The 23,175-nt window shown below is 38.9% G+C and overlaps 2 protein-coding genes across 31 annotated transcripts in view, besides 2 other annotated features; both read left to right on the top strand.

The window, feature by feature from the left end:
* The window catches only part of CHUK (component of inhibitor of nuclear factor kappa B kinase complex), a 43,278-nt gene extending 23,229 nt beyond the window's left edge, over positions 1-20,049 (top strand). For 4 of the 17 annotated variants that reach the window (NR_199797.1, NM_001441065.1, NM_001441066.1 and 1 more), the window contains 10 exons: positions 1,169-1,292; positions 1,711-1,862; positions 4,219-4,280; positions 5,588-5,697; positions 6,348-6,397; positions 11,847-11,943; positions 12,237-12,384; positions 12,937-13,070; positions 15,400-15,499; positions 16,741-18,068. Coding sequence is in view for 9 of the 17 variants with exons in the window: in NM_001441065.1 (NP_001427994.1) it covers positions 1,169-1,292; positions 1,711-1,862; positions 4,219-4,280; positions 5,588-5,697; positions 6,348-6,397; positions 11,847-11,943; positions 12,237-12,384; positions 12,937-13,070; positions 15,400-15,499; positions 16,741-16,770 (1,007 nt within the window). In the remaining 8 variants the exon portion in view is untranslated. The other 13 variants (NR_199800.1, NM_001441064.1, NR_199798.1 and 10 more) reach the window with 12 other exon arrangements.
* Positions 19,972-20,121: an enhancer, noted in NCBI's record as "active region_3883". NCBI's record gives its function as "activates an Ori minimal core promoter by ATAC-STARR-seq in GM12878 lymphoblastoid cells {active_cell/tissue: GM12878}" and the evidence as "EXISTENCE:reporter gene assay evidence [ECO:0000049][PMID:35858748]".
* Positions 20,292-20,441: a silencer, noted in NCBI's record as "silent region_2703". NCBI's record gives its function as "represses an Ori minimal core promoter by ATAC-STARR-seq in GM12878 lymphoblastoid cells {active_cell/tissue: GM12878}" and the evidence as "EXISTENCE:reporter gene assay evidence [ECO:0000049][PMID:35858748]".
* Positions 20,339-23,175, top strand: part of ERLIN1 (ER lipid raft associated 1) — a 35,936-nt gene continuing 33,099 nt past the window's right edge. For 5 of the 14 annotated variants that reach the window (NR_144757.2, NR_144756.2, NR_144758.2 and 2 more), the window contains exons 1-3: positions 20,339-20,406; positions 20,731-20,854; positions 22,531-22,612. Coding sequence is in view for 6 of the 14 variants with exons in the window: in NM_001100626.2 (NP_001094096.1) it covers positions 20,742-20,854; positions 22,531-22,612 (195 nt within the window). In the remaining 8 variants the exon portion in view is untranslated. Of the gene's footprint in view, positions 20,855-22,530; positions 22,613-23,175 lie in introns of all 14 variants that reach the window. The other 9 variants (NR_144759.2, NM_001347861.2, NR_144760.2 and 6 more) reach the window with 6 other exon arrangements.

Below are 23,175 nucleotides of genomic sequence, written 5' to 3'. Positions count from 1 at the left end.
AGGCGGAGGTTGCAGTGAGCCAATGTCACACCACTGCACTTCAGCCTGGGCAACAGAGTGAGACCTTTCTCAAAAAAATAAATAAAAAACATAAAATATTTAAAAATATTAAAAAGTAAAAAAAAATCTATTTTACATTAGTATGATGTATTTGTTACATTTAATGAACCCATTTATTATTAATTGAAGCCCATACTTTATTCACATTTCCTTCATTTTTACCTAATATCCTTTTTCTGTTCTAAGATCTCATCTTAGAACACATTACATTTGGTTGTCATGTCTCTTTAGCTCCTCTTTGCTGTGACATTTTGTCAGACTTCAAATAGTCCTTGTTTTTGATGACCTTGACAATGACCTGAGGAATACTAGTCAAGTATTTTGTAAGATGTCCCTCTGCTGAAATTTGTCTTTTTGTTTTTGTTTTTGTTTTGTTTTTGAGATGGAGTTTCACTCTTGTCGCCCAGGCTGGAGTGCAATGGCACAATCTTGGCTCACTGCAACCCCCACCTCCCGGGTACAAGCGATTCTCCTGTCTCAGTCTCCCGAGTAGCTGGGATTATAGGTGCACACCACCACGCCCAGCTAATTTTTGCATTTTTAGTAGAGACAGGGTTTCACCGTGTTGGCCAGGCTGCTCTTGAACTCCTGACCTCAAGGGATCTGCCCGCCTTGGCTTCCCAAAGTGCTGGGATTACAGGCGTGAGCCATCACACCTGGCTCTTGTGTGTATTCTTAAACCTGGATTGTTGGTCCAGAATATGAAATTTATTATTCAGAGGTAGGAAAGACTCAGAGGAGATGGGACTTGATTTAGAACTTGAAAGAAATAATTTGGATTAGCAGAGAGAAAAAGAGTATTCCAGGTTGCAGAAAAGCAAGCAAAAAAGACAGATACAGGAATAATCTCAAGCTCTGTGAGTGTAGCGATTGTGTCATTTTTATTTCCCCCCTTGTATGTGGAGCGGGGCTTAAGTATTGCAGGTGCTCTGTAAATGTATATTGAACTGAATTAAATGGAAACAAGTGGTTCTTTTAGCATCAGTTTCTAGCATCTATGGGAATCCTGTTTGTGTGGACAGGAAATCACAAAGAATGATAAATCAACTCTAAAATCCTCAAAAGTAACTAACCTCCCTTGCCCTTTTTCTCATCTTCTTGTATATAGTACAGGACAGCAAAATACAGCTTCCAATTATACAGCTGCGTAAAGTGTGGGCTGAAGCAGTGCACTATGTGTCTGGACTAAAAGAAGACTATAGCAGGCTCTTTCAGGGACAAAGGGCAGCAATGTAAGTGGATTCTGTTGTTTATAAGCACAATGCAATGTGCATCATATACTCAAGAATTAATCTTGCCGGTTTTCACTAATCAATATTGCATGTAATAGTAACATACTGGGCCAATTTGAAGTGTAATGTTCTGATAAACTTGTAGAATTCTTACTAATGGACTGAGACCATTCTATTGTAATGGCTTGAGGGTAATAATTCCCATACGGTCCTAGTATAAAAAGATTGTTTATCACAAAATATTATAGGCAGGAAGTCTTTAGAGATCAGATTCTAGAGCTCAGTTATTTCTCATAGATTGATAATAGAAACTTAGGCTTTGGCCTTGTGGCAGTTTATGTTTTTACATTATTGTTCAATGTTTCTGAATGCTGATAATATCTTTTTTCTTTTTCTTTTTTTTCTTGCTGTGGTTTAGGTTAAGTCTTCTTAGATATAATGCTAACTTAACAAAAATGAAGAACACTTTGATCTCAGCATCACAACAACTGAAAGCTAAATTGGAGTTTTTTCACAAAAGCATTCAGCTTGACTTGGAGAGATACAGCGAGCAGATGACGTATGGGATATGTAAGTGTCTGTGTAATGTATTTGAAAGGAGCATCTGGTTTCTTGAAGCCATCTGTTATTTTGCCTTCTTAACTCAGCCAGTTGTTTTACTTACCTTCACATTAGAACAAGAGACAGGACAACTTAAATTAACATAAACCATGTTTGTTTTGAATGTTACCTCTTTTTTTAAATTTGCTTAGTTGAGCAATTTAGCTTCACAATTGGGCTAAAATTATTTAGCTCTAAAAAAATACAGGTGCGATTTAATAATCTTGAATTTCAAACCTGATTTTAAAATAAATACAAAATCTGGACTTCTTAGCCAGTGCTGTGGACTGAATGTATCCCCCCCAAAATACATATGTTGAAATTCTGACCCTGAAGGTGAAGGTGTTGGTAGGTGGAGCCTTTGGGAAGTGATTAGGTCATGAGAGTAGAGCCTTCCTGTTTGGGATTAATGCTCTTACAAAAGAGACCTGAATGAGATCCCTCATCCCTTCTGCATGTGAGGACAGAGCAAGAAGATGGTCATCTAGGAACCAGAAAGCAGGCCCTCAAATCTGCCTTGTTCTTGGACTTCCCAGCCTCCAGAACTATAAGAAATAAATTTCTGTTGTTTTTATGGCACTTAGTCTATGGTATTTTGTTATAGTAGTCCAAATGGACTAAGACAACCAGGGGAGTCTTAAACTGCTTACTTTTCTGTAAATAATGACACAAATATTCTAAGGCTATGTTTTTTTCAAACCATCTACTGTGGAGTCCTACTATTTTTTAGTGTACACAGTCTCCAAATTTTCCATATTTGACTCCAAGCTTATCTCCTTCAGATGTACTAAGGAAGTGTAAAAAAACAGAGTTAAAATATGAGTAAATTGAAGGAGTCATACTACCAGCATTTCTGTTTTCTTTTATAAAACAAATCCTTTTTAGGAAACAAATACTTGTTTCCTAAAAACATATACTTGTCCTGAGCAAACTCTGTGTATCTCAGAGTAAACAATCAATAGTGTCCAGTTGGGTGAATGAATTTACTCTCCAGAACTGGTTTTATTAATATTATTGATATTTTATTTCTATTTATATATTATTGATATTTTATTTCTATTTGTATATTATTGACATTCTGGTGAGTGATAAAACATTATAATTATTTCATTAAAATATCTTAGACTTGTCAAAGGCTTATTATACAATTGTTAAAGAAAAATGAGGTAGATCTATATGTGCTTTTATTAAAAGATCACCTAAGTCTTTAGTTGACAGTTTTAAATTGTGGGAAAAAATAAAGAGTATACAGATGTTTTCACTTGTGAGGGAGCAGGCTATGTGTCTATGTAACAGATAATCATAGTAAGGTCCCTTGAGGTGGATGGTAGAGGGGTAGAAGAGAGAGTCTTTTCTGTTTATATCCTTTTATAGTATTTAATTTTTAAAAATCATATTCAAGTATTAAATTTCTTTTCTGGCCAGGTGGTGACTCACGCCTGTAATCCCAACACTTTGGGAGGCCAAAGCAGGTGGATCCCTTGAGCTCAGGAATTCAAGACTAACCTGGGCAACATGGGGTAGAACGCCATCTCTACAAAAAATGTAAAAATTAGCCGGGCATGGTGGTGCACACCTCAGCTATTCAGGAGGCTAAGGTGGGAGGATCGCTTGAGCCCTGGAGATAGAGGTTGCGGTGAGCTGAGATCATGCCACTGCACTCCAGCCTGGGTGACAGAGTGAGACTCTACCTCAAAAAAAAATTTTTTTTGTTGTTTTTTCCTTTATCCACCCATCTGCACACTGGTATAAATATATATATTTTTAAGAAAAAAGTCATCTGTATTCATTTCCTAAGGGTTCCATAACAAAATCCCATAAACTGAGTGGCTTAAGCAATGGAAACTTACTGTCTCACAGCCCTGGAGGCTAAAAGTCCAAAATTGAGGTGTTGGCAGGGCCATGTTTTCTCTGAAATCTGTAGAGAAGAATCTTTCCTTGTTTCTCTCTAGCTTCTTATGGTCTGCTAGCCATCATTGGCATTCCTTGGCTTACAGCTGCAGCACCTCAATCTGTCTCCATTGTCACAGAGCATTCTCCCCTGTGTATCTGTATCCTGTGTCTCTTCTAAGTACACTGGTCGTACTGGACTAAGGGCCCAGACCATTCCAGTATGAGTATTAATTTATCTGATTACTTCTGTAATGACCTTATTTCCAAATAGGTCACATTCTGAGGTATTAGGGGTTAGGAATTCCACATATCTTTTGGGGGACCACAATTCAACTCATAACACATCTTTGATGTTGATATGGCAAGGAGGCAGGCAGCCAGTAATTAAAGATATGGCTATTTCTGAGATAACCAATTTAGACTTTTCTTTTAGCTTCAGAAAAAATGCTAAAAGCATGGAAAGAAATGGAAGAAAAGGCCATCCACTATGCTGAGGTAAAATCATTGACGTCATTCTGTATACTTATTAATTCTTGATGTCTCCATTAGAAACTATCTTTGGTTTTGATATATAAAGAGCATTTTTCATGTCATTCCTGAAATTCAGACAAAATTCTAGTAGATGCTTTGTATATAAAGAGGGATGTATCATAGTGATTAAAAACAAGGGCTTTGGGAAAATTACCTAGTGCCTCACTGAGCTTCAGTTTCCTTTATTTATTTATTTTTTGAAACAGGGTCTCACTCTGTTGCCCAGGTTGGAGTGTAGTGGCATGATCAAAGCTCACTGCAGCCTCGACTTCCCAGGCTCAAGCAGTCCTCCCATCTTAGCCTCCTGTGTAGCTGGGACAAGAGGTGCACCACCATGCCTGGCTAACTTTTACATTTTTTGTAGAGACGGGGTCTCACTATGTTGTCCAGGCTTGTATCAAACTCCTGGGCTTAAGCAATCCTCCCACCTCAGCCTCCCATAGAGCTGGGATTATAGGCATGAGCCACCACATCCAGCTAGTTTCCATATTATAGGGACAATTTCTTTTCTAGTAGGGTTATGAAGATTAAATGGGAGTCAGTAATGGTAGTTGTCACTATTATTTTTGTGACTGGTTTAGATAGGATGGCTGCACATCCTGGTTTACCTGGGACTGTCCCAGTTTATACTTAATGTCTTGCCATAATTATCAGTAGTAGTCCCTTTCACTCTCAAAATTATGCCGGTTTGGACAATAAATTATATGGTGTCCCTAGGTATAGCTCATTCTCTAGGTGGCAGATTTTTTCCCCTTATCCTGTACATTTGTCCACGGTCCTAAGTTATTACACTCCTTAATGTCAGTACTTACCCTGAGGATGTGGGTGGGGATACCCATGGTGTCCTGGGGTGGGAAATCCAAGTTCTTTATCTTTTTGTGTCCCTATTCAAGGTAGTGGGGACCAGGGGGCAGTCAAAATCATAGAGCCAAGATACAAGTAATACCAATGGTTTTGGTGGTCCTTTTTCTTTCTTGTTAGTTGATACCTGTTGTAGCTTTTTGCTTCTCCGGAGGTAAAAGCAAATACTAGTAGTTTACTGTTGTCAGGAGAGAAAAGAGAGAAGACTAAGACTAAGTATGTTCTTATGTGAAAGATTAAGTGTCAGAATCTGAAGAATAGAAAGGCTTTAACAAAATCAGTGTTTCGTATTATATTATTTAGTTCTCTAATGAAGCAGCAAGTCATTCTGTATCCTTAAGATCTGAATTTTGTTTCCTATGATGTAGTGGTAAGCCTTTCATTTCCTTTGTATTTTCATCATATTTTAGGTTGGTGTCATTGGATACCTGGAGGATCAGATTATGTCTTTGCATGCTGAAATCATGGAGCTACAGAAGAGCCCCTATGGAAGACGTCAGGGAGACTTGATGGAATCTCTGTAAGGATGCACTTGTGTTGTTGGTCTTGACATCTGTAATATTTTGTATTCTTTCTGCTTACATCTGGCAAATTAAACCTCTAGTGGTTCTTTTCTATAGTTTTCCTTTCCCCAAATATATTGGCATTATATTTAAAATGGAAGCTTTTTCTCAGTCACAGGAAACTTCGGAAATAATTCTTTGGGTTGGCCTTTTTTGGTTTTTAATAAAAGCATTTATTTCATAGGAGTGTTAAGAATTTTCCAAGTATAACTAAGTTACAAACTATTTCCCTACTCATTATACCTCTGGTCCAAGGTATTGACTCTTAAATGCCCTAAAACTTGAAATTTTTTCTGAATTAAAGTTCTGGATTAAAAACTTCAGATATTTTCTCGAATTATAGGTCATAATTTTTGTCTTTTTAAGTGTCTGTGGTGCAGAGATGTCCCCATGATAGATCAGAATAGATATGAACTATATTAAACTTTGCATTTTAAGAACTTGTATAGTTCTTATTACTCAATACAATGCTCTGTGAAATACTTGTTGGCAATATGAACTTGCTTTAAAATGGGTTCATTATTCAAATAAAATATTGTTTCAAGTTGTAGATTATTGAAGTCATTAAATTACCTTCACTTATCAGAGCGTGTTTTCTCTTTTATAGGGAACAGCGTGCCATTGATCTATATAAGCAGTTAAAACACAGACCTTCAGGTAAGACACTTCTACCACAGTGCTTGAAGGCATTTTAGGTAACTATCACTAGCCTAACAAATGTGGGGGATCTAATATTTTTAAGTTAAAAATTTTCTTAAAGCTGCAGAATAAATTCCAGTTTTGGTATTGCCATTGAGACATGGTATAATAAGCTTTAAGATTGTGAGAATTTAGGAGATGATAAAGAGAAAGTAACAGAGAACGTGAGGTAGAAAAATTTTAGAAGGGGACGTGAAAAGAAAGAATGGAAGACAGAAAAAAGGAACTCAGAGAGGAAAAAGCAGCAAGAAAATGTTTAGAAAGATGGAAAAAATAAGTGTTGCTTAAGATTAGAGAGGTTGGGCCAGTTGTGGTGGCTCATGCCTGTAATCCCAGCACTTTGGGAGGCCAAGGTGGGTGGATCACCTGAGGTCAGGAGTTCAAAACCAGCTTGGCCAACATGGTGAAACCCCATCTCTACTAAAAATAGAAAAGTTAGCTGGGCATGTTGGCATGTGCCTGTAATCCCAGCTACTTGGGAGGATGAGGCAGGAGAATCGCTTGAACCTGGGAAGAGGAGGTTGCAGTGAGCCAAGATCACACCACTGCACTCCAGCCTGGGTGACAGAGCGAGATTCTGTCTCAAAACAAAACAAAAAAATATTATAGAGGTTGGAAAGAATTTGAGGCAGTGGGTTCAGGTATGGAATGGTTAGAGGGAAGGCCTGTGCTGTTCTAGGCCAAAGCAGATTGCTTTGAAAATAATGCCTTCATCTGCACTGGTCACTGATGACTTGTTTTGTTGGCAAAATAATTCCAGTTGAACATCTGCTAAATACTGAGCAAGGTCTGCTGGAAAGAGTACTGGATGGGGAATCAGAGGCTTGAATTCTAGATTGAGTAATTTACTGACCGTTACCTCAGGCAAATCTGCGTTTCCCATTTCCTTCTTCTGCAAAATGGGGTTGAAACCTAGCTTTCCTACTCAGTGAGTATATTGTGACAGTGTATTTAAGAGGATGTTTGTGAAAATGCTTTGAAAACTATAAACTATTATGTACTTGCAAGATATTATCATTTAGTTAAAAATTTGTTTTGAAGGGTAACAGAAGAAATAAAGTCTGTGCCCTAATGTGCATTATACTTAAATGCATGTTAAAAAAAGATATACTTTTACACTTTAAAATTTGTAGACACATAGCAACACATGCAAATTAATATACATGTGAAATTGTATTTCATATACTATTTTCACATTTAAAAAATAACATTATCTCCTCTTATACTGCTTTTATTTTACTGAAATGTATTCAGTTTAGTCTGACCAGCAGTTCTCAAAATGTGGCATATGGACCTGTGAGAATCCTTGAAACTTTGTCAGAGAGTCTGTGAGGTTAGAACCATTTTCATAATAAGATGTTATTTGCATTTTTCACCATGTTGACATTTTCATTGATGGTGCAACATAAAATGGCTTTCACCTTAGTATGAATCAAGGCACTAGCGCCAAACTATGCTAGTAGCCGTTATATTTTTTACCACCATGCAGTCACAGTTTTTAAAAAATGACAGTTTCACTTACAAATGTCCTTGATAAAGCAGTAAAAATATTATTTTATTTAAATCTCAACGCTTGAGTATGGGTTTTTAATATTTTGTGTGATGAAATGGGAAGTACTCATAAAGTGTTTCTTCTATACAGTGAAGTATGATGGTTGTCTTAAGGAAAACCACTTCAGTAATTGTTTACGTTGCTAGTTGTCTGGCCTCTTTCAGGGAAGATACCATTTTTACTTGGAAGAGCAACTGTCAGGCAAACTATGATTATTCAGATTTGCATACGTGAGATAATTTCTAAGAAATTAAATGAAAATAAAAAGTATAGCACACTTATTACTTTAAGGGAAAAAAGCAGTATTTGTTGTCAATGATAAAATTCCATGTTTCAAGCAAAAAGAATTTTAGAAAACTTGTATTTACCAGCTGGAATGACAGCTTCTCAGTACTTAAAAACTTTTCTGATGAGATTAGTGGTGATATCAGAAAGGTTTGCAAAAATGTAAAACAGTGCAAGTGTTCTCACTCAAATTTTTTTGTTTTAGAAAATATCGTTTTTTGGTTTTTGTTTTTAGAGGTGGGCTCTTGCTATGTTGACCAGGCTGGCCTTGGACTCCCTGGGTTCAAGTGATCCTTCCACTTCAGGCTTCCAAGTATCTCAAGTAGCAGTAACCAGTGAAAGGAGGTGGCTCTCGTAGATATGAGTATACTGTGTAGACACATGTATGTATAGCACTTAGCATGTCTGAGGAAATGCAGTATGACTGGAGTGTAGAGTTTCAGGAGAGAGAAAACCTAAATATAGGAGAGAGAGAAAACGTAAATATAGGTTTTTTTGTTTGTTTTTAATAAAAACATGTTAATGGGCAATAGGTTTGTTATTTTTAAATGAATTAAGACACGAGTATTTTTAAATTTCTGTTTAATTCCTGAAAAACCCTTTGGGGTTCTCAAGAATTTTCTAGTGTAAAGGGGTCCTGAGACCAAAAAGTTTGAGAACTGCTTATCTAGACTATTCTCAGAAGCTTGGCTGCTCAGGAAAGAAGAGAGGTGGGTGAGTAGCTAAAAGTTGATGTAGAGTCAAGGGAGGTCACTTCTCAGAAGGAAGACTTAAACATGAGGTGCCACATGATGATGTTTTGGTTAACAACAAATTGTGTATACTATGGTAGTCCCATAAGATTATACTACTGTATTTTTACTATGTATTTTCTATGTTTACATGCACAAATACTTACCATTGTGTTACAGTTGCCTACAGTATTCAGTACAGTCACTTGCTGAACAGGTATGTAGCCTATTGTCAAAAGGCTATACCATACAGCTTAAGTGTATAGCAGGCTGTACCATCAGGGTTTGTATAAGTATTCACACAGTGACGAAAGTGCCCAATGATGCACTTCTCAGAACATATGCTCAGGGCCAAAAAAGCCTGTGGAGAGGGAGGTCCCTGAACAAGTTGAGAGATTGGCTCCAAAGAACAGTAGGAGGGATTAGCCTTGATACTATTGATATTGGAAAGAGAATGAGTGTGGATACAGATACTTTTTTGGGAGTAGAGGTTGGAAGATCAGGGTCTTACTGCCTTATGGCCTCTTATCCTGCAGTGGTAAGTGAGGTTAACTGAAATGGAAGAGGTGACGACCTCATAGATTTGAATAGAGTGCTAAAGACTTCTAAAAGCCACTGTGTGCAGTGGAAGATGTTGTTGACCCAAAACATTCATTAAGAATCCAGGCCAGGTGGCTCATACCTGTGATACTAGCGCTTTGGGAGGCTGAGACAGGAGGATCGTTTGAGGCCAACAGTTTGAGACCAGTCTGGGCAACATAGTGAGACCCTGTCTCTACAAAAAAATAAATCAATAAAATTTTTAAAAAGCTGGGTGTGGTAGTGTATGCCTGTAGTCCCAGCTACTCAGGAGGCTGAAGTAGCAGGATCGCTTGAGGCCCAGGAGGTCGAGGCTGCAGTGAGCCAAGATTACACTACTGCACTTCAGCCTGGGTTGACAGAGCAAGACTTTCTTAAAAAAAAAAAAAAAAAAAACCCAGAGCAGAAATGAAAAACCTGTGAATTAGCAGTGACAAATAGTGAACAGTAATATTAATTTTTTGTTGATAATTTAGTAGCTTGGATACAGGAACTGATAGAGCAGATGGTTGGATTAATCCAAGGTTAGGATTTTGCTGATGGAATAAGAGGATAAAAAGGTTGAAGATGTTAACAAATAGTGATTTAAGTGATAGAAGTTGTAGCTAGAGTAAAATATTAAAATCTAAGATTTCAAATAGAGCAAGTCCAATTCTTTTTCTTTAATCAATATTTCTGGGCCAGGCGTCGTGGCACATGCCTGTAATCCCAGCCACTTTGGAGGCTGAGGCAGGAGAATTGCTTGAACCAGGGAGGCAGAGGTTGCAGTGAACCAAGACTGTGCCACTGCACTCTAGCCTGGGTGACAGAGCTAGACTCCATTTCAAAAAAAAAATTCTGACTCCCAGTTTTCTGGCTAATGAATCAGATACCACAGATACACAGTGATAGCATTTGTTTAGGTTATATTTTTTAAAACTTTGAGGCAGCCCTGTCAACATACCATGAAGCTCAGAAATAAACTGCTACCCAGGTAGCTTCTTTGAGTGTCACCTTGAGTGACAAACTGTAACAAGATTGTGTCTGTCATTGGGGCCTATTATATAATCACACTTGATTTGTGGCCTCTATTGTCTTTTCTAGCTTAGAGTTGACTTGAATCTCTTGTTCATCTGAAATGGTTAAAACCAGCTTTCTTCATTATCCTGGAGAAGGCTAAAGTTCTGAGGGCTTTCACTGTCTTAAGGAGCTAGTTATATGAGAAAGCTCTTGGCTTGGTCCATGGTATTTAGGAAGGAATGCTGTTTGGAGAAGAACCTTTTTGGAGCCTTGCATTTGATTGTTGGTGAGGAGGAGACAACAGAGATGTGTGGGGAATAAAGTTGGGCTATGGGGGAAGTATTTGGAGTGATAGATAACAAAGGACACAACGTTTTTTAAACCTCCTTTGATGCTCATCATTTCCTTTTTGGTAAAATGGGGGTAACAAAAGTAGTCTTCTCACATGACTGCTGTGAGGATTAAATGGGAAAATTATAAGCAGAGAGTAGCAAATATTATTATTATTGCATTTAGGCTTAATTATTGTCCAAAGAATATACCAGCATGATGCATAAGCAACTTTCAACTCCTTTAGCCATTTTCTGAAATATAACAATTAATGATTTTTTTTTAAAATCGAGGTCACATTTTAAACTGTAGAACCCATTGTGACCAACAGCCATCCCATTTGAGGGTATCTGGCTGCTGCCAGTTGGCTTTAAGATGTCATACTGCCCTCAAATGGAACTTTCAGGATGTCTACAGGTCCCTTTACTAGTTGGTTTCAATGAGCTTTTTTCAAAGTTTTTCTGGGTTGTAAACAGACGGATAAACATGAAATTCCAAGCAACCTAGTTCAAGGGCCTCCTTCCTTTAGGTAATGAAAGTTTGATGAATTGTCCTACTGTTTCTAAATATGTGGTTAATCATCCAAGAAAAATTGTTCCCTTGGCCAGAGGCTGCATTTGTGTCTAGGGCTTGGGTTAGTATGGGTTAAAGATAGCCAAGACTATTGTTCTCAAGCACAGGCAACTAAGGTCTCTTACTGATAAATTTATATATACATTATACACCTGCAAACTTTATTTTTTATATATAACTAGATTTTATTTATAGGTAATCTTTATATCTTTTATCTTAACCCAATTTTTAATTTAAATGGAGATGTTTATTAATTAAAATTAGTTTCAGAGTTTCAGGGATTTTTGAGGAATTTTTTGTTTGGAGGCTGATATGTTACAGAAGAAAGGTTATATCCACTGACTGATGTCTTTTATAGATCACTCCTACAGTGACAGCACAGAGATGGTGAAAATCATTGTGCACACTGTGCAGAGTCAGGACCGTGTGCTCAAGGAGCTGTTTGGTCATTTGAGGTAGGAAAATTGCTTCATTTCCTACTGAAAAACCAGGATACGTTTATCTTGTTCCTCTCAAAGTACAAAAGCCCTCTTTGGTAAAGTATACTTACCCAGGAAGAATTCTGAAGGTACCTTGGGTAGCTTGGCCATAGCTATCTGCATTTATGTGTCCTTTTGTATGCATTACTTTGGAGATAAGTCATTAAATCTGATGCTGATTGTGGTTCATTTCCTCAGCTGGGTTTTGGGAATATGGTGTACAGTCTTGGGGCATGTGAAAGTGTCTGACACTGATTTAATCTCTCCAGCAAGTTGTTGGGCTGTAAGCAGAAGATTATTGATCTACTCCCTAAGGTGGAAGTGGCCCTCAGTAATATCAAAGAAGCTGACAATACTGTCATGTTCATGCAGGGAAAAAGGCAGAAAGAAATATGGCATCTCCTTAAAATTGCCTGTGTAAGTAATTATTAATGAATTATTTAATGTGACATTGAGTTGCTATTATTCCTTGCAAAGGGGATTTTTATCAGCATGAGGTGGGCCCTCTTGAAGACATGTATATTTTGCATTGGGATGACATCCATGTTCCTTGCTTGGTGTCCAGACTAGCAATTGAGATGCAGGACTTATTATCATCTCTCCTTTCCAATTTCTCTGTTGTTATACTCCTCTTAGCCCTTGACTACTGTGGTATTCCAACCTAACTTGGGGATAGATGTACCTGCCTAGATAATGAAATTGACCATCTATTCAACTGGGTTTTTTTTTTCTTTCTTCAACTAAAATGGTATAAGATGAGTGGATATATTTGGTTTTAGTCAATGAAGAAAGGGTCCAAGGACAGGTTACTAATGGTGTGTAAAGGTGGGAATAGTTTTGTACTGAAATACTCTGGTTGTGCATATAAGTAGTAACGGAAATGTAAGTCTTAGGAATATGATAAGAAATTGTGTGAATCAACAGAGATGCTTGCCTGTAATCTTTTGATGTTTTTTTCTTTTCCTTCAGACACAGAGTTCTGCCCGGTCCCTTGTAGGATCCAGTCTAGAAGGTGCAGTAACCCCTCAGACATCAGCATGGCTGCCCCCGACTTCAGCAGAACATGATCATTCTCTGTCATGTGTGGTAACTCCTCAAGATGGGTGGGTTTACTTTGTAACAATAGATAGCTGTGTTTTCATAGCAGTGGTATAGGAATGAGGCAGTAGTTGTTAAGGTAGTCTTCTGTGCCTTCAGACCAGGGTTGAGTCCTGACTATCCCTTTGTAATAATCTTAGGCAACTTACTTGACTTTTTTGATGTTCATATTTCCTCACCTGTAAAACAGGAATGTCTCATAGAACTGCTGTGGAAATTTGATTAGACAATGTATATAAAGTGCTTGGGAAATAAATGTTCAGCAAATGTTGCGTATTATTAGCTCAAATGTTGCTTATTATTAGCTAAGTCCAAGTTCTAAGTCCTTTCTTTTATTGGCTTATTACTTTCTTTTACTCAAACCTTACTCCTTCATTAACAGTTTATGAGAAATTATGCTATCATTTTGCATTTATCATTTTGGGGATCCTTGATTACCCTTCTAATAAATTTTTGAGATCTATTTTATAACTTTGTATTTCTAAGATTAGACTTTTTTCAGTGTTTTAAATCAGTTTTGCAAGAACTCAGATTCCAAGCCCTATATTTTATTAATTCCTACTCTTTTGCTAAAAGCTGAATGACTATCCATTTCTGTTATTTTCTCAGCTTAAGATGTGCCGTATCCAAAGCCAGTGGCTCTTTGCTAGCTTGTGTATTGTCGCTTTTCTCACAACTCATGGAGACCTCTACAGCACCAGCATTTCCTGGAAGCTCTGCCCATAATTAGTTTTGCAGAAGTGCAGCCATGTTACATCACTGCTCAGGAGGTCATGCAGTTGCACATTCTGTACTCTACTTTTATGAGAGAAAAGCACATGGCAGGAAGGCAAGCTGATATCAGGTATTTTATTTTTTTAAAGAAAGCAAGTTCCAGGGTATATATCTTGGGGTCATTATACATGTGGCCCAATGCAGTACACCTACAACTGTAGCACAGGCTATAATTAAATATATAGACTTTACAAAATACTCCAGTAATCAGAGTTGAAGGAAGTAAAATTTAATACTTTACTTACTTTTTTGCCTTTATTAAAGGCATTTAAGTTTTTTAGCGGATGTTAATGTTTACAAATGTCACCACAATACAGGTAATTTCCAATTTGAAGTGTAGTTGCTTGCAAAAGTATATCTGACAGACATTTTCAATGTATTTTCTAGAAGGAACACATTATATTTTGTTTTGAGACGGAGTCTCATTCTGTCGCCCAGGCTGGAGTGCAGTGGCACAGTCTTGGCTCATTGCAACCTCCGCCTCCCAGATTCAAGCAGTTCTCCTGCTTCAGCTTCCCGAGTAGCTGGGATTTCAGGTGCGTGCCACCATACCTGGCTAATTTTTGTATTTTAGTAAAGACGGAGTTTCACCATGTTGGCCAGGCTGGTCTCGAACTCCTGACCTCAAGTAATCCACCTGCCTCGGCCTCCAAAAGTGCTGGAATTACAGGCATGAGCCACCATGTCCAGCCAGAATACATTGTATAAGAAAATTGATTTCAATTATAATGTACCTGTGGTACTTAACTACCAAGGATTGGGAACTGTTTGACCATAATTTTTCCATCTGTTGGATAAGAGCTGAATCAGAATGTCATTCTAAGCTAATAGTGGCTATCATCCATGACCTAAAACGGACTCTTGTTAGGGGACTGAAGATTGGCAAAGGGAGAAGCTAGAGGCCATATAGAAGAGGAAAGCATGAAGGTAGAAACCACAATCAGGACTGCCTTCAAATATGAACTTCCAGGGATACTTCTTGGTTCTGGGTAGCTCCCCCACCACACTGTTTTCTTTTGCTGTCCTCAGGAATCAGCTTGCTTGTTTCGTTTCATTGCTATCATCTGTAGTTTCTAATGAGTTTTTCACTTTCTGTGATCTCTACAGAACAGATTTTACTTTTCTCTCTTCTCCCCTACATTTGTGTCTGTGAAGTATGCATGCTGGTGTTTTTACTACTTTTAAGGAAAGAGAAGTATTTAGAAACAAAAACGTATTTCATCTGTCTTTGCCACAAGGATTTTTTCCTCCCTAGTTACATTTTCACGGGAAAAACAAGTTGTACATAAGTGCATCTTACATTTCAGAGGAAAGTCAGACTGGAGTTATAGTGGACTTCTTATCATTAGTTAGGTAGAGGTAGAGGCAGCAGCCTGGTCTTAACAGGACTCTGCCTCTGTAGGGAGGGATGAGGAAACTAAAGACTACAGGAGTCAACTGCACTGGGGTACTGGGTTACAGGAAGGCTAGTGATCTTGCTAACCTAGAAGACTAGAAAGTAGAGGAAATTCATATGCCCTTTTCCTGAGTTTGAAAAGGCTTTGTTCTTTCATCTCACAGGGAGACTTCAGCACAAATGATAGAAGAAAATTTGAACTGCCTTGGCCATTTAAGCACTATTATTCATGAGGCAAATGAGGAACAGGGCAATAGTATGATGGTAAGTTTTGTGTGGATATGGGTGCCTGCTTTGGCTATGTTGGGTGCAAAAGGTTTAACTTTCCATGCTAGCCTTATCTGGCATTTGGGATGCATATGGGAAATAGAAGAACTCAAGAGGAAAGAGCATTTGGGGAATATCCTCAACCTTAAATCCTTATCTGCCGTTACTCAGGGATATACTAGGATTATGTCATCAATTATCTTCAATAATAGCATTTTTGGTCAAATTAAATGAGTGGTAAGCTTCTTCACAATGTGACCATTGAAATTGAATGGTTTGTTCTGTACCTTTTTGCTTCAGCAATCAATTTTCTCCATTAAGATGGGACTTGTACTTTAATTCAGATATGGTACCTCCCGAATAGAAAATAAATTATGTTAATATAGTTGTAATAATAAGTGTGTGTTAAGATTTGGTTACTATAAACTACTGATTTGTTAAAACTTGAGGAAATTACCATAAAATGTCTACTGAATCAATTTTTCCTGCATTTAGTCTTAATGTCAATTCTGTACATTTCCTCTTTCATTAAGAAAAATAGCAGTGGCCAGGCATGGTGGCTCACGCCTGTAATCCTAGCACTTTGGGAGGCCAAGGCAGGTGGATTGCTTGAGCCCAGGAGTTTGAGACTAGCCTGGCCAACATGGGAAACCCTGTCTTTATAAAAAATATAAAAATTGGCCAGGTGTGGTGGCACACACCTGTGGTCCCAGCTACTTGGGAGGCTGAGGCAGGAAGATCGCTTGAGTTCAAGAGTTTCAGGCTGCAGTGAGCCGTAATCCTGCCATTGCACTCCAGCCTGTGACAGAGTGAGACTTTGTCTCGGGGAAAAAAAAAAAAAAAAAGGATAATGGTGGCCAGCCATATGACATGTACCTGTAGTCCGAGTTACTAGGGAGGCTGAGGCAGAAGGATTGCATGAGCCCAGGAGTTCAAGGCTGCAGTGCATTATGATTGGACTTGTGAATAGCCACTGTACTCCAGCTTGGCAACATAGCAAGATCCTGCTCTCTTAAGAAAAAAAAAAAAAAGAAAAGAAAAGGAAAGAATAATTGTTTACTTCAAATATTTATGAAAAAAACTCTGAAATTTTTTTAAATCAGGAAATAAGGTAAATGAAATGATTTTTCAACTTTTGATTATGAAATGTCCAAACAGAAAACTTGCAAAAATGAACACCCATATACTTATAACTTATAGTCAACATCTAATTGTAACTTTTTCATGCCTGGTTTTAGAATCTTGATTGGAGTTGGTTAACAGAATGAGTTGTCACTTGTTCACTGTCCCCAAACCTATGGAAGTTGTTGCTATACATGTTGGAAATGTGTTTTTCCCCCATGAAACCATTCTTCAGACATCAGTCAATGGAAGAAATGGCTATGAACAGAAACTACATTTCTACTATGATCAGAAGAACATGATTTTACAAGTATAACAGTTTTGAGTAATTCAAGCCTCTAAACAGACAGGAATTTAGAAAAAGTCAATGTACTTGTTTGAATATTTGTTTTAATACCACAGCTATTTAGAAGCATCATCACGACACATTTGCCTTCAGTCTTGGTAAAACATTACTTATTTAACTGATTAAAAATACCTTCTATGTATTAGTGTCAACTTTTAACTTTTGGGCGTAAGACCAAATGTAGTTTTGTATACAGAGAAGAAAACCTCAAGTAATAGGCATTTTAAGTAAAAGTCTACCTGTGTTTTTTTCTAAAAAGGCTGCTCACAAGTTCTATTTCTTGAAGAATAAATTCTACCTCCTTGTGTTGCACTGAACAGGTTCTCTTCCTGGCATCATAAGGAGTTGGTGTAATCATTTTAAATTCCACTGAAAATTTAACAGTATCCCCTTCTCATCGAAGGGATTGTGTATCTGTGCTTCTAATATTAGTTGGCTTTCATAAATCATGTTGTTGTGTGTATATGTATTTAAGATGTACATTTAATAATATCAAAGAGAAGATGCCTGTTAATTTATAATGTATTTGAAAATTACATGTTTTTTCATTTGTAAAAATGAGTCATTTGTTTAAACAATCTTTCATGTCTTGTCATACAAATTTATAAAGGTCTGCACTCCTTTATCTGTAATTGTAATTCCAAAATCCAAAAAGCTCTGAAAACAAGGTTTCCATAAGCTTGGTGACAAAATTCATTTGCTTGCAATCTAATCTGAACTGACCTTGAATCTTTTTATCCCATTTAGTGTGAATATTCCTTTATTTTGCTGCTTGATGATGAGAGGGAGGGCTGCTGCCACAGACTGTGGTGAGGGCTGGTTAATGTAGTATGGTATATGCACAAAACTACTTTTCTAAAATCTAAAATTTCATAATTCTGAAACAACTTGCCCCAAGGGTTTCAGAGAAAGGACTGTGGACCTCTATCATCTGCTAAGTAATTTAGAAGATATTATTTGTCTTAAAAAATGTGAAATGCTTTTATATTCTAATAGTTTTTCACTTTGTGTATTAAATGGTTTTTAAATTACTTTCTTGATCTCTATTCATTATAAAAATCAGATTATAATAAAACAGTTGAATATGGCTTAGGAAAATATGAAGGTTCCATGAAGTGGAATTAAGAGCATAGAATAACTGTACTTTCCTTAGGAATAATAGGACTTATGGTAAAGGTAGTATTGGGCAACTTCTTTAAGAGTGTTTTCCTCTGAGATGTCCTATCACCACTATCTACATCTAAAAAACATGCTCGATTCTTGCCCTATAAACTGATGTCACAGCCCCACCATCCCCATTTTTGCTAGTGGTATCATTTTCCTAGTCAACCAAATTTTTTAGTCATCACATATCACTGTTCGTCATCTATTATAATAGGCAGTCTCTCTCTTGTTTCCCTGGTTTTAGAAGATTTTAGTAATAAACATTTATTGGGTACCTGTTACTTGGAGGGTATTAAGCTAGATGGCAAGATCTGAAACAACATAGGCAGTATAGTAAAAGTGCTTATCTGGGAGTCTGAACATTACAAGCCATCCAAGCATTGCAATTATTGTTAAGGATTATTTTCAATGGTCATGCATTTTCTAATATTTTAATAATTGGTTAAAGATTTGTTATAGCGTGGGGGCCGCTGCTGGTGTGTGGCTGGGGTTATGTCAGGGCAGCCTGATCTATATAATTTGGGCAGATGGTGTGAGTCAGAACAGACTATTATAGTGGGATCCCCAAACTTGCTTTTGATGCATGAGTTGGACCACTATTTTTTGGTGGGTAACAACTTTTCAGAGGGGAATGGCAGTTGTGAATTGTATACATTTCATTCTTTAAGCAATATTATGAAAAACTTCAGAGAATGTCTACAGAAAACAGGGTATGGAGCAAGTTATTTTCCATTCTTTTTGCTTTTTGGAAGTTAAAATAGCTAAGCTCTGCAAATATCATTTATTTGGAACAGATAAGGTCCCAGACATTCCTAGATAATAAAAATCAAATGAATGATACAGGTAAGTGTATTTATTGAAGGGTGTGGGTAGAGTGGTCTGGGAAGTCTTGCTTTAATGAAGACGGATTGATTCTATTTACCTCTTCTTACTTCCACTACTAAGTAACCCTGGGCCTGCAGTTTCCTAACCACTTGACTTCCTTGCCAACAGTCTGTCTCCACTTTCAGCCGTTTTATAGATTCATTGGCCCTAAAGCACTGCTTTCCCATACTTCCCTACCCAAGAGGGCAGGGGTCCCCAAGCCCTGGGCCGCGGACCGGAACCAGACAGTGGCCTGTTAGGAACCAAGCCGGATAGCAGGAGGTGAGCGGCGGGCGAGTGAGCATTATCGCCTTGAGCTCTGCCTGCTGTCAGATTAGCGAGTGGCATCAGATTCTCATAGGCACGCGAACCCTATTGTGAACTGCACATGTGAGGTTTGCCGGCTCCCTGTGAGAATCTAATGCCTGATGATCTGAAGTGGAACAGTTTCATCCCCAACCCACACACACCCCCACCCCGTCCGCTGGGTTAGAGGACTTTACAACCCTAGTCCACCTTGTCCAGTTATAGTTCCACCTCTAGCCTTTCAAGGCTTAAACCATTAATGTCCTTAATTTCTCTTGTATTCATCTATCTCCCAACTATACCTTTTTCCTTCCCTTTTTTATTTTTGGCAATATGTGCCCATGGTTTTTTAATTTAAAACGAACAGAATATGTAGTGACGCCTACCATAGCACTCCTTCCCATCACACAAGCCTTCAAGGAAACTGAAGTACTTACTTTGGTCTCCCTGGAGGATTCCCTCCGCCTCCCGCCCCATGTGCTTAGCAATTCTGTTCCTGTAGTCTGGATGGCCTTCATAAAGCCCTCACTGGACCAGCATTCTGGCACATAATAGGAACACTTAAAAAACGAGAGAATGATGCCGTTATATCTAATATCTTCCTCTTCTGAACTTTCACAGCACTTTATTTGCAACAAGTTTAGTTGCTCCTGAAGGGCAGGATCTCTGCCGGAAGCAAGTGCGTGCCACACAGTGGGGCTCCGCATACACTGCAAAAGGACAAATAAACCGAACAGCTACCGTTTGAGAGTGAGCGAGTGGGTTCTCTGCACAAGAACAAACCAACCAGTCCCTTGTCCGAAAGGGCGTCTCCTTTTCTCTGCTTCGCTGCTCACTCCAGACTGCGGGCTGTCCTCTTCCGAAGCAGTTAACCAGCAGTGTACAGAAAGCGACTTGCCTCCAAAGGAGCCTGCGCGGCCCGCGGCTAGGAGAATTTTGTCCCATGCGCTCCCCGTCTCACTAGCCGCGGGCCGGGGCTACGCCGTGTGCGTCCCCGCGCAGCCGCAGTGCTGGGCGAGTGGGCGGGGCCGGCTGTTGGCGGCGGTTGGCTCGGCGCGGGAGTCGGCTGCACGTGCGGGCGGGGGCGATGCGTCACTGATCGGTGAGGCGCGGCCGAGGGGTCGGCTTTCCTCGCGAGCCTGCGGCTGGGCTTCTTCTCAGTTAGTGCCTTCCACCCGGGAGCGACCCTTGGGAGAGGGAGTTTCAGGAAGCTCACCGAGCAGGGGCGGCCCACTGGCCTCCGGGGGCGGAGGAGTTGGCAAGGGGTCAGCGGGCTCAGCCAGAAGGGAAGAATGAGGGGACAGGGGTACTGGACTCCCCGGCTCAGCCTGCGAGAGAGCGCCAAGTTTCCGGAGGGAGAGGGTAGAAACTGGAGGGGGTGGACCTGTCACTCACGGGACTGAGGGTCCTTTTCTCCCGCTCCCAGGAGGAACGAGAATGAATATGACTCAAGCCCGGGTTCTGGTGGCTGCAGTGGTGGGGTTGGTGGCTGTCCTGCTCTACGCCTCCATCCACAAGATTGAGGAGGGCCATCTGGCTGTGTACTACAGGTGAGCGGCATGTGCAGTCAGTTAGGGCTCTAGAGCAGATTAAAAGGGTACTCCAGAGTGGAGTCTGGGAAGTTGTTCCCTCTGCAACGTTCGGGGGCGCATGTCCCATCTCTAGGGAGAGCACGGGGGTCGAAGCGGGCTTTTGCGGAGCACCCTCCAGATGTTGGACAGTTTTAGTGCTATGTTCGTTTTGTTGCAGAGATTAAGTCTCCCTACGGTTATTCCTATACACAGCAAACTCAATTATTTGTAGAAAAATGAAGAAGGAAGAAAGGAAGTAGTCACTCTACCTCTAACTGAAGAGATGGATAAATTATAGTTCGTTCAACTGTACAGGCTTTAGTTTGCCGCTGTAGATGCTGTATGTTTATGGTTGTTTCTTAGACTTTTTCATTTAAAAGCTTCCAGTGTCTGGTTACGTCTTGTAACACCATGATGACTGTGATGGTGCTTATGTCCCTGGACCTCCAGGGACATAAGCACAACACTGATGGGCCATGCTCCTCCCTCCTTACTGTTGCTGTTCAAGTTGGGGACAGGAGTGGTGTGGGAGCTGTTGCTCTCTTGTTGAGCTCGCTTAGCTTTTCCTTCAGCCTAATTACCACAAGTTCCTTTTGATACAGACTAGTAAGAGAGGCCAGTTTGTGGAGAAATTGGGATAATGGTGTATTCAAAAAGAGCGTCAACTTTTTGCTTGTTTCCACTATCCCTCAAAACTGATATTTCTACTTTCAAATCCATCCTGAATCCTAGAAAAAGAGCAATTTTAATGGTATATCTTAGCAGATGGAGCTCTACATAAGAAATTACAGATTAGTCCAGATTTCCTTCCAGTTTAAAAGCATTGTCTTTCTGACAGTAAAACCAGAGAAAGGACATTTCAAGGAATGACTCAAAGAATTAGTAATGAACCTCAAACAGTTCATCTTTCCTTGTTATTATGACCTTGCAAATGTGTTTATATTTTCAAGACCGGTAGCTAAGTTCTATGAATTTACAAGGTGCAAAATAGGACTTTGTTTTCTTTGCTCCCCAAATGCCTCCTTTTTATAATTTCCAGGGCTTGCTTTCATAGTTTTCACATTCCAGGATTTGGTTAACAAGCCCTTATGCTATTTATTTGTATAGTCTTGTCACCCTTCATCTTTTCATGCTAATTTTTTGTTTTTATATAGAAATTTTATGTTCCCAGTATTTTAATTACCTTGTAGATAGATCGAAAGAATTATAAGCCTCAGAAATTTTCTCTTTACTTCAAAGTTTGCATTGTCTTTTTTTCAACCTGGTGATTAAATGTATTATATATTTTGATTTGGCTCTTGTTATGTACTATTAATGTACCTCTACTGAAAGCCATTAGAATTTTTTAAACAAATATTTCTCAGAAGGTTAAAGACCGAGGAGAATCCTTTGAACCTTAGAGCAGTGCTGGAGACCCAGAGGTACGGTTGGTTGAGCTTATGAAACAAGGTGTAACATTGGCAGTTTAATTTGATCTTTTTCCCTTTTTAGGTGTGGAGGTATTTTAAGCAGTTGTTCATTATGAGCAATTCATATTAGTGAGGCTTTAGTAGGTCAGCAGCATGAGCAAGAGTGAGTATTTATTATAGCATTTTAGATTTGGAAAGATAATTTTTCTTTTTATAATTTTGTCAAATTGAAACATCTTTTTGCAGGGGAGGAGCTTTACTAACTAGCCCCAGTGGACCAGGCTATCATATCATGTTGCCTTTCATTACTACGTTCAGATCTGTGCAGGTGAGTGATTCCTAGGGGAAGCCTCCATACCAGATAGACAGGCATGACAGGAGTTACCACACTTGTGGGTGGAGATAGATTTCCTTATTGCTTAAGCAGATGGTGGTATTTACTTAAATGCAGAAGTTAACGTTCAGAGTACAGTTGTTACAACACAAGTTATGATGTTAAACCACCTCACTTACTTGAAATGAATTAAAGGTATGAACCAGGAAGCTTGGAAGGACTGACTTCTACCATCTATATCGTGGTATATAGCAAATTTTCTGTTGCTGCTGTCACAATAAAAGTAAGAATTAGAAACACAACTAGACATACAAACCAGTGATTATGTGGTTTAGAACAGTGTTTAGTTTCCATAGAGGCAGGCTCCTGGGCTACTGTTAACATGGAGGATCAAAATTTTTATACACAGCCTTTCTGCCTCATGTTTTTTTGCCTGGTATATTAAGCACAATTTTATGTGGAACCTTAGTGAATGTTATATTTTGATGGCATCCCGGGATATTTGAAATAAGTGTCTAATCCTCGAAAAGTGTCTTGGCCATGGGAGACAATAAAAT

Source organism: Homo sapiens, chromosome 10 (assembly GCF_000001405.40).
Source record: "Homo sapiens chromosome 10, GRCh38.p14 Primary Assembly".
Taxonomy (NCBI): domain Eukaryota; kingdom Metazoa; phylum Chordata; class Mammalia; order Primates; family Hominidae; genus Homo; species Homo sapiens.
The sequence above is the reverse complement of the archived record's forward strand: the minus strand, read 5'-3'. Positions and strand labels throughout refer to the sequence as shown.